General features: G+C 37.0%; 1 protein-coding gene across 1 annotated transcript; it reads right to left on the reverse strand.

Moving 5' to 3' along the window:
- Positions 2023-3464, reverse strand: ACTRT1 (actin related protein T1). The gene has a single exon (NM_138289.4). It carries the CDS (start codon positions 3265-3267, stop codon positions 2137-2139), a length of 1131 nt encoding a protein of 376 aa, NP_612146.1. The 5' UTR covers positions 3268-3464; the 3' UTR covers positions 2023-2136.

An 11982-nucleotide genomic window follows, 5' to 3' on the forward strand; every position in this document is an offset into this window, starting at 1 on the left:
TGTTATCATTCACTTTTTGTATGTAAATCCATTACAATTTCTTTTTACTCTATTTAAAACTGTTGTTTGATCCTTACATTATTTGAAAATTAACTTAATGTTTAAGGTTTTTACAATCAGAATTTAAATTAATGTAAGGGTTATTTAGTTATTTAAGTTATTTAAATTATTAAGTAATATAAGGGTAATTTAAATATTTTTGTTAATTTTTAAGGTTTTATAGTCAGAATTTCTTCAGTTTCAACATAAAGATTCTAAGTTTAATTAATACTTTTCTTTCTGAATAATGCAAATGTATTTAAATATTTTAAATTCAAACGAGTATTCATGATTTGTGGCTATGTTTGTACAATGGAAGGTTTATTGTCTATTTTACTACTATAAATTTATACCAGCCAGGCGCAGTGGCTCACGCCTGTAATCCCAGCACAGCACTTTGGGAGGCCAAGGTGGGTGGATCACCTGAGGTCAGGAGTTTCAGACCAGCCTGGCCAACATGGCGAAACCCCATCTCTACTAAAAATAACAAAAATTAGCTGGGCGTGGTGGTAAGCACCTGTAATCCCAGCGACTCGGGAGGCTGTGGCGGGAGAATCACTTGAACCCAAGAGGTGGAGGTTGCAGTGAGCCAAGATCGTGCCATTGCACTCCAGCCTGGACAACAAGAGTGAAACTCTGTCTCAAATAAATAAATAAATACCATCAATATTTTTTAATTTACCCCCCTTTTCAGCATTTTAAAATTTTATTATTTTTTCTAACATGTTATCTTATTCTGGGGTTATTTCTATATGCCTTAAGTAAATCTTATAAGATTTTCTGTGCTAATAGTGTGCTGACAGTAAGTACTTTTAGTTATTATTCAAAAATGTCTCTTATTTTATGACCATCTTTCTTGTAATGGTTTTCCTGGGTATATAATACTATACTGACAGTAGAGTTTTTCTAACTCATTTTGAAGGTGTTATTCCACTATCTTATTTCTTTGTGGTTTTGATTAGTTACCGGTAAACAGAAGTTTGCTGTTAAGTCAACTCTCTCAAATAAACATAAAAATGAAAAGAATTGACTTATAGTGACTATAGGGCTTGACAATTTTCATGGTTGTATTTAGGCTAGCAATGATGAGTAGATATGTGAAAAAATATAATTTTTTAGATGAATGGTTTTATTTCGTTCAGGCTGAAATTTATAATATAATAATTTCTTTTTTTTAATTTGTTACACCATTTCCTTCCAGCTGCATTACCTCTCATTCCATTCTTCTTCAAGTTGCATAAACTATGTAGTGCCTTTACTTTTGTACTTTTCTCCAAATGCTTATAATTAAATAAAATCACATTTATTAATATATGTATTAACTTAATGAGAAGAAATATTTCTGTATGCATAATTTATTCAATGATTATTTTATTGATAACTATTGTTTCTAGTGTTTTATCCATAACAAAATGATGCTATATAGAGCCTTGAAATTAAAAATGATAAAAAAATAATTTAGAAATACTGATTCTTAATGCTGCAACTGGGAACAAGGACCCTGAGCTTAGAGAGCCTTAGAAAATGGTGATTTCTATGCCCAATTTTTTCTCCATTCTAATTAGCATTTTTGATCTCATAACAGCACAGCAAGAACCCTATTGCACTAACTAAATGACAAACCAGGAAAAAGGACTTGAACTCTAAGACTAGTGGAGGATTTCCAGTTCTGCTTCATTTCCTTCCTTTGCCCACACTTTTCTTCGTGATTTAGTCTCCTGGGAACTGGGTCTATTAGAACCACCTAAGATAATAATTTAATTTAAAGATTCTTGAGATTCTACCAAATCAAGTTCCTAGATATGAGCCCCAGGCACCGTTTGCTACAAATCCTCTATATGAACATAACCTCAACATATAACCCAAGATCTTCTTAGGAGAAAAAAACTTAACAGGCCCATAGGAAAGAAGAGAGTAATAGAGCAACCTAAAGATTCATGACATGACTCATATATTATGGTGCTACTAAGAATAAACTGAAACTTGAAATGGCAAAACTTTTATTGAACATCATGCTGAAGCCCAGAAGAAAATGCCATCTCCCACTGGTACTCCTGTAATCTGACACTTCAAGATGTCTCCTCTGCTCAAGGATCTTTAAAAGCACCTTCTTTGAACCACAGATGTCCCATACTCCTTGAAGTCTGCCGAGGTGACCCACATCTGCTTGAAACTGCTCATAGAGGTCATGATGGATGCACCAATCCATGCAGAGAAGCATCTATCAGGAGAAGCTGTGATCTTGATGGGAGTACCTTTGGAAGCCAGCTGTTCCACTTCCTTCATGAGCCTTTCCTCCAGCCCAGGGAGGAGAGTGGTGCCCCCGGAGAGTACAATGTCTGCATAAAGTTTATTCTGGATGTCAGTGTCACACTTCATGATGCTGCTGGAGACCATTTTTGAGAGTCCTGGGCTGTGGATGCCCAGCTGGTCAGGTGCAAAAAGAACCTCGGGCACTTGGTACAGCTCATCCCCAAAGTGGATGACATGTCCATCTGGCAGTCTGTATGCTCCCAGGACCTCTCCCCGGCTCTTGCGTAGCTCTTTCTCTGGCTCCAAGGCGATGTAGCACAACTTCTCTTTGATGTTATTTACCACGGCCTTGTTGAGTATGCAAGGGAAGTTAAACCCGCTAGCAAAGAGGAGCCGGGTGAGGTGCTCTGTGATGTCCCTCCCTGCCATACAGAGTTTGGTGACTGCGTGAGGCAGGGAGTAACCCTCAAAGATGGGGACAGTGCAAGTGACCCCATCTCCACTGTCCACCACCAGGCCTGTGACACAGGCAGAGGCATAGAGCGCTGCCACCGCATGATTAGACAGGTAGAAACCAGGCACACTGAAGGTCTCAAACATCATTTCTGCTAGCTTTTCTCGAATTTCCCTAGGATTCAAAGAGGGCTCGGTCATAAGTACAGGCTGTTGGCTGGGTTTTACTCCAAGCTCCCGCTCAAAGAGATGTTTCCAGAGTTTCTCCATGTCATCCCATCCTGTTACCAGTCCACGCTCAATGGGGTAGTGCAAATGTAGGGCCTCATACTTGTACAGGGCTTCTTGCCCCACGAAGTACTTCTGATTAAGTCTTGCTAAAGGCACATTGAATTTACAATGTCCCAAGACGGAGCTGATGACATGGCGGGGTCCAATCTCTCCAGACAGGCCTGCTTTGCAGAGTCCTGAACCATTGTCAAAAATTACAGCAGGAACATCTAATGCATGTGGATTAAACATGTCTGTAATATGTTCTCCTGGACTTCCCCCAAATAAAGAAAGAACACTTACGTCACTCTCTGAGATGACAGGCACCTTTAGAATTTTTTAAACTTCAGGGTTCTGAAGTTTCAAGTTGTCACCCATGTACAGCTAGTAGGCTACCTTCAGTCCACCAGGACACCCCATCCTCAACCTCTGAATCTTATCTCCATTCTGTAGGCTCAGGGCCTGCTGAGGCAACATGAGGGGTGATTGCCCTCTATGTCACAATCCAGCCAAGGCAACAATTGTCCTCAGTGAGCATCAGAGGGGCCGGGTGGGGCCTCTGAGCCAATAGTACTCCCTACTTGGTCAGATACAAAGCCAAGGAAAGCAAATCATACCTACAGAGCTATGAGAAACACTATTCTACATGCTTTTGCTTGGAATTATGTTTTCATTTTTTTAGATATATATTTGAGAATAGAATTGCTGAGTTATATGACAACTGTATGTTAAATCATTTGATTTTAATTTCTGTAAGTTCTTTGTTCCAAAGTGGCTGTGACATTTTGCATTCCCACAGTCGCTGTAGGAATGCTCCTACTTCTCCACATGCTTCTAAATTCTATTTTCTGACTTTATGATTCTAGGCATTCTAGTGTGTGTGAAATGTTATCTTATTGTGGTTTTGATTTGCAGCTTTAAGTATCAATGTTGAGAATCTTTATTATGTGCTTATTGGCCATTCTAATACCTTCTTGGGAGAAATGTCTATGCAGACCCTTTGTTCCTTTTTTATAAGGTTGTTTTTTGATTATTCCATTGTAACTGTTCTTTACACATTCAAGAGTCTGGTGTTTATCAGATACATTATGTGCATACATGTTCTTTTATTCTTGTATTGTCTTTTCACTTTTTTGTTAGTGTTCTTGAAATTACAAAACTTTTAAATTTTAAAGGAGTCCAGTTTCTCTGTTATCATTTGTTGTTCATATTTTGTGTCATATGTAAGCATTCATTATAAAATTTAAGATTCTTAAATTTATCTTTTTGTTTTCTTGTAAGAATTTTAAACTTTTAACTATTACATTTAGTTTTTGTTAATTTTGAGTTCATTTTTTATTTATGGTGTGCATTAAGTTTTCAACTTCATTCTTTTGAATATGGTTCTATCTGGCTGTTCCAGCACCATTTGCTGAAGAGGATAATTTTGCCCCATAGAATGACTAGTATCTTTTTCAAGCAACAATTGACCATAGACAGACACCTGGGTTTATTTCTGGACTCACTGCCCTATTCCATTGATCTATATGTCTATCATCATGCTGGTAGCACACTGCATTGATTTCTGTCACTCTGTAATAAATTCTGTAGTTAAGAAGTTTGAGTACTTCTTTGTTCTTCCTTTTCAAGATTGTTTTGGCCATTTTGGGTCCCTTGCAATTCAGTATGCAATTTAGGATCAACTTTCCAATTCCTACGCAAATGTCATATGGAATTTTGATAGAGATTGCCTTGAATCATTAGATCAATTTAAGGAATATTACCATCTTAATAACGTCAACTCTTCCAACCCATGAACATGTGATTTTATTTTGCCATTCACTTGCATATTATTTTAGTTTCTTCATGGAATATTGTCATTTTTGGAGTAAAACTTTTATACCAGTTTTGTCAAATTTTTATTTCCAAGTATTTTATTTTTCTTTTATAACTGGAGTTTTTTTTGTTTTGTTTTGTTTTTGTTTGTTTTTTGTTTGTTTTGTTTTGTTTTTTGTGATGGAGTTTCACTCTTGTTGCCCAGGCTGGAGTGCAATGGCTCTATCTTGGCTCACCACAACCTCCGCCTACTGGGTTCAAGCAATTCTCCTGCCTCAGCCTCCTGAGTAGCTGGGATAACAGGCATGTGCCACCACACCCAGCTAATTTTGTATTTTTAGTAGAGACGGGGTTTCCCATGTTGGTCAGGCTGGTGTTGAACTCCCGACCTCAGGTGATCCACCTGCCTAATTTTATCTTTGATTCAGAGGGGTACATGTGCTTATTTGTTACATAGGTATTACATGTATAATGGTGGGAGTTGGGATTCTAGAGTACCCATTAACCAAATATTGGACACTGTATTCAATAGGTTATATTTTATCTTTCACTCTTCTCCCACTGTCATCCCTTTGGAGTCCCCAGAATATATTTTGCCCATCATTATGTCCATGTGTATCATTTGTTTAGCTTCTACTTATAAGTGAGAGCATCTGTATTTGATATTCTGCTTCTTTGTTAGTTTACTTAGAATAATGGCCTTCAGCTCCATCCATGTTACTGCAAGAGACATGACTTCATTCTACTGTATGGCTGCATATTATTCCATTGTGTATATATACCACATTTTCTTTATCCAACCAACTGTTTGTAGACTCTTAGGTTGGTTCCATCACTTTGCTATGGTAAATAGTGCAGTGATAAACATACAAGTGCAGATGTCTTTTTTATATAATGAATTCTTTTCCTTTGCTTAGATACCCAGTTGCGGGATTGTTGGATCAAATGGTAGTTCTATGTTTAGTTCTTTGAGATATCTACATACTGTTTTTCATAGTGGTCGAAGTAGCTTACATTCCCACTAGTGGTGTATGAACATTCCCTTTTCTCCACATCCATGACAACATATGTTGTTTTCTGACTTTTTTTTTAACAATAGGTATTCTTACTGGTATAAGATGGTATCTATGTGGGGTTTTAATTTGCATTTCTCTGATGATTGGTATGTTCAGCATTTTTCACGTGTTTGTTGGAAGCTTGTATGTCTTCTTTTGAGAAACATCTATTCATGTTCTTTGCCCACATTTTAATGGGATTATTTGTTTTATTCTTTTTGATTTGTTTAAGTTTCTTACAGATTCTGGATATTAGCCTTTTGTTGGATGCGCAGTTTACAAATATTTTCTCCCATTCTATCAGTTGTCTGATTCTCTTGTTGATTATTTCTTTTCCTGTGCATGTTTAGTTTGATCAAGTCTCATTTACCTACTGTTGTTTTTGTTGAGTTTGCTTTGTGGGTATTTGTCATAAATTGTTTGCCAAGGCTGATGTTCAGAAGGGTGTTTTCTGTTTCCTCTGGAACTTTTACAGGTTTAGGTCTGTAATCCATCCTGAGTTAATTTTTCTATATGGTGAGAGATAATGGGTTTAGTCTCTTTTTCTTTCTGTACAGCCCCACTAGTTGTAAACTGATTGCTCTAATGATTTTGAATATTGCCTTTAAAGTGATAGTTCCTGAAGTCAGTTTTTGTGATGTGCTATGATCCCAGGGTCTCTAGTCATAGCTGTTTCTTTTCAGCTTTCTCCAGTAAACTACCCAACCTAAGGTTTATCCCATATCTTCATAAATTTACCAATATTTTCCCAATTACTCTTCACCAAAACATCAAGTGGTTTTTTTGTTTTGTTTTGTTTTTTGTTTTTTTTGAAAGTGCCCTGTGGCTTGAACTTTTTCACATTGTGCTTTAAATAAAGTAAGTTCCTTTTTCAAGGAGTTAGGAGCTATCCATTTTCCAAACTGCTTCTCCCTTCTGGTATAACTAGTAGCACAGGCTCTGAAGTTGGGGTTTAAAAAAAGGCATGGCTCTCTTTGAATGACCCTTCTGCTGTAGGAGCTGAGCATTCAGTATGTGGGGAGAGTGGCCTCAGGCATTCTTAGCTTGCTGTGTCTGGTGTGCCACTGCTACCATATAAGCCAGGATGTGGGTTATCATCACCCAAGTATTCTCAGTGGTACTGTGCCATGGTTGAGCCTCTGTGCCACTGTGTGGACTCAGTAGAAAAGAAGAGAGCCCACATCTCCTAGTCAGCCACATTCACTAACAGTCATAGAAAGAGGTAGCTGGGGGCAGTATAAGAAATGTCTTCCCCTTCTAGGAAGATAGTACTCTATCTGAACGCTCTGAAAAAAGAGAGTTCTGTATTCTTGGCTGAAGTAGTCTGAAGTTTCTTTCTCACTGAGTTGGAAAGGGGTGGAAGGGACTAGGTCTCAGTTCAGATACCACAAACTCTCATTGCTATTTCCAAATTTCAGTAGATTTTCTTGAATAAATGTTTCATTTGCAGCATGTCTTTAGGACCATTTCCATTGACATTAAATAGTTGTTTTTCTGCTTCAAAAAATTTTGCAGTTTTTCTTGAAGAACTTTTACTCTGTCATTCTATAAGTCCATTCATACAAATCAGAGCTGCAAAGTGACATGAACTGGCTCTATCACACCACTATCTGTAAATATGTTCCTCATTTATTTGTTCGGTAATATGTTTTTATTTCTCCCTCTTCTATTTTTTTTTTTTTTTTGGTAGCTGAGTGGTCTACAATAATTTGTGAAGCTATACTTTTTAAATAGTTTTTTCCAGCTTTATATTCATTAGCTATTTGCATTTGTGGATTTGTCTCATTCATCAGTTCTAGAAAGCTCTTCATTTCCCTCAGTGTTATTCTTTCCCATTATCTCTTGCCTCTATAGTATTCATATAAGCCACATTTTAAACTCTATTTCAATCCTTATTTTAACTTAATTTCTAGATGTTGCAGCCTCATTTTAAGCTGCTTCCTGAATAATTTTTATCTTTAGGTTCACTAATGTTCTGTATAGCAGTGTCAATTTACATTTGACACATCTACTGGATATAGAATATTATTTTGTTTGTAATATCAATAATCTCATTTCTAATTTCTAGAAGTTTGTCTTATCTTTTTCTAAATATGTTTAATTATGTTTAATGGTCAGATGTCCCTTTGTAATATATTTAAATGGTAACTTAATTTACTTAATTACAATATAATTTTATTTCGTATACTGTAAAGTATAATTAAAAACATTTTGGCCGGGTGCAGTGGCTCACACCTGTAATCTCAGCACTTTGGGAGGCCTAGGCAGGCAGATCACCTGAGGTCAGGAGTTCGAGACCAGCCTGGCCAACATGGTGAAACCCTGTCTCTACTAAAAATAGCTGGGTGTGGTGGCACATGCCTGTAATCTCAGCTACTCAGGGGACTGAGACAGGAGAATCGCTTGAACCCAGGAGGCGGAGGTTGCAGTGAGCCGAGATGGCGTCACTGCACTCCAGCCTGGGCAACAAGAGTGAAACTCTGTCTCGAAAACAAACAAACAAACAAAACTTCAGTGTTTTCAGGTCTAATACTGGGATTTGTCTTGTGTTCTGTGTCTAGCTGACTGCAGCTTATACACATTAGATTTCTTTTGAGACAAAGTCTTGCTCTGTTACCCAGGCTGGAGTCCAGTGGCACACTCATGGCTCACTATAGCCTTGACCTCCTGGGCTCAAGCAATCCTCTCACTTCAGCAACCACAGGCACATGCCATCATGCCTGGCTAATTTTTTATTTTTATTTTTATTTCTTTGCTTTTGTAGAGACAGGATTTCCCAATGTTACCCAAGCTTTTCTCAAACTCCTAGGCTCAAGCGATCCTCCCACCCCAGCCTTCCAAAGTGCTGCGATTACAGGCATGAGTCACTACACCCAACCAACACTAGATTATTAATGTTTTACTAATATTTTCATTATGAAATAATGTTCTTGCTTGTTGTGGTTTGAAAGTCTGTGTCTCTCCAAAATTCATGTTGAAATTGAATCCTCAATGCAAGTCTGTAGTATGAAGAGGTGGAGTTTTTGGAAGCGATTAGGTCATGAGGATGAACCCTCATGAATGGGATTAGTACCCCTATAAAAGGCCTTAAGGGAGTCTCTTAGTCCTCTTCACCCCTTTCCACTTGTGCCATGTAAGAACACAGCAACAAGGTGCCATCTATGATGCAGAGAACAAGCCTTCATCACTGAATCTGCTGGCTTCTTGAAATTTCCAGACTCCAGAACAATGAGAAATAAATGTCTAATTATTTATAAATTACCCAGTCTGAGGTATTTTGTTAAAGCAGATCAAACAGACTAAGCCACCCATCATCTGTAGAAATTAATTTAATTCTGTATTTAAAGTGAATTCTATTAGAGAAAATTTGCTTTTGCTCTTGATATTGCAAAACTGGAACCATTTTAATTTAAATTTTTTTACTCAGTGTTTTACAAATCATACAGGTACATCAAATACTATTCTCAAACCACATTAAGAAAGTGTGAGATATGTTTAAGAATTCTCAGGAGAAGCTTTATCTCTTACTCACTGTACATGACTCTTTCTTTGGAGGTCTGATTTTTATGTGTTGGATTCAAATGTTCATCTTTCACCATATTTGTGTTTTCTATTTTCCTCTTGTTTCTGTGTATATTACCAAAGATGTAGGCCACCAAAATATAGCAAGATTCATTGCAAAAACATAATATCTAACTCTCTACCACTCTGGATCAAAGTTTTATTTTTACAGGCTTTTGGAGAATTTCCTTTCTTCAAGCTCAGTCATAAATGGAAATATTAATACATTTTATAAGGCATTTTCAATGTCCTATAGATAATTAAATACATTATTTATTAAATATTACCCTTATGCTTTCAAATTTATATTAACCTCCATTTCAAATAAAGGTTTTTTACTTTGTTCTTACAATAAATTGAAAGCTAGTAACCTTTTAATATATGCATAATGAACTCAAGGAACTCACTCTGTAGTGTCTACAGTGTCTCCAGGTAATTTCATAAGCCTTTCAGTGTTCATTATTGACTTATGATAGTAATTTATCTCAGTTTCTTGTCTAAATATAAAATAATCTTACAGCTATGATACTCAGATATTATGCCATTAAGCAGGAGATTTAAAATGCTCTTGCAAGTTTTTGACTTTAAATGAAGTAAGTTTCTAGGAATGTTTCCAAAAAATGGATGTCAGAAAGATTATTTATTTGATTTGATTTAATCAAACCAACATCTCCCAAAGTAAAGAAAGGGCATAATTTCTAACTAATATTAGACTTTCAAATATTCCCATCAAATTATTGTTTCATGGGAATTCTCCAAGTGAATAATTTGTATAAATTGAATAAGACATTATGTAATAAAATTGCTGAATCTCAATATAAACACCATGCTCTGTGGTATCTTTAACTTGCTCTGTTCCTACTCCCTCTCCTCACCTCTACATCCACACTTGTACCAGCAGATGAGAATCACAGTAAAAGTTAGGAAACTGGTAGAACTTGGAGAGGGCAGATTTGGGTTAAAAGACTTATTTCCAAAACAAAAGAAAGAAAGAAATATCATTATTACAATTGTCTATGGTTTCCTGGGAGACTCACTGTGCAATGTTGTCTTTATTTTCTCTAAGTCATAGCTTTCCCAGAGTGAACTGATTTTTCCATAATGCATTATTGAAAAAAATCAGAGGCAATTGTTGAACATCCCTGGTTCCTGAGATGATGGATAACAGCTGTAACAGACAGGATGGAATAGAAGGCTCCACTGATCATCCCCCCCTGCAAAAACACAAATTTAACAACTATCTACACACAGAAAATAAACCAAAAACCTTCGTAAGAACCAAAAACCAGGTGAGCACTCATAGTACCTGATTGTAACTTCCTATTGCTGTAAGAGACACTAAAGAGGTAGAAAAAATAGTCTTGAACCACTGGCGCACCCTTCCCCCACCCCACAGAAGCAAGAGCATGGAAAGAATCTCAGAGCTTGAAGACTAGCTTTCAGAAACAAGACAGGCAGACAAGAATAAAGAAAAAAGAACAAAAAGGAATAAGCAAAACCTCTGAGAAACATGGGATTATGTAAAAGACTGAATCTACGACTGATTAGGGTACCTGAAAAAGATGGGGAGAATGGAATCAAGTTGAAAAACATACTTCAGGATATCATCCAGCAGAACATCCCCAATCTAGCAAGACAGGCCAACATTCAAACTCAGGAAATCCAGAGAATGCCAGTAAGACACTCCATGAAAAGATCAACCCCAAGACAGTAAGATACGCCATGAAAAGATCAACCCCAAGACAATCATAAGATTCTCTAAGGTCAAAATGAAAGAAAAAAGTTTAAGGGCAGCCACAGAGAAAGGCCATGTCACCTACAAAGGGAAGCCCATCAGACTAACAGTGGACAGCTCAGTGGAAACCCTATATGCCAGAAGAGATTGGGGGTCAATATTCAACATTGTTGAAGAAAAGAATTTCCAACCCAGAATTTCATATCTGGCCAAACTAAGCTTTGTAAGTGGAGGAGAAATAAGATCCTTTTCAGACAAGCAAATGCTGAGGGAATTCATCACCACCAGGCCTGCCTTGCAGGAGCTTCTGAAGGAAGCACTGAATATGGAAAGGAAAAACCGTTACCAGCCACTACAAAAACACACTGAAGTGCACATGTCAGTGACACTATGAAGCAATAACATAAACAAGTCTGCAGAATAACCACCTAGCATTATGATGACAGAATCAAATTCACACACAACAAAACTAACCATAAATCTAAAAGGACTAAATGCCTTAATTAGAAGACACAGAATGGCCATCTGGATAAAGAGTCAAAACCCATCAGCATGCTATCTTCAAGAGACCCATCTCATGTGCAAAGACACACATAGGCTCAAAATAAAGAGATGGAGGAAAATTTACCAAGCAAATGGAAAACAAAAAAGCAGAGATCACAATCCTAGTTTCTGACAAAACAGACTTTAAAACAACAAAGATGAAAAAAAAAGACAAGTTATTATATAACAGTAAAGGGTTCAAGTCAACAAGAAGAGCTAACTCTCCTTACTATATATGCACCCAATACAGGAGAACCC

This window comes from Homo sapiens, chromosome X (genome assembly GCF_000001405.40).
Source record: "Homo sapiens chromosome X, GRCh38.p14 Primary Assembly".
NCBI lineage: Eukaryota > Metazoa > Chordata > Mammalia > Primates > Hominidae > Homo > Homo sapiens.

What these genes read in the sequence shown, in the direction of transcription:
- ACTRT1 (NM_138289.4), bottom strand. Translation starts at nt 3,267, where the DNA reads ATGTTTAATCCACATGCATTAGATGTTCCTGCTGTAATTTTTGACAAT.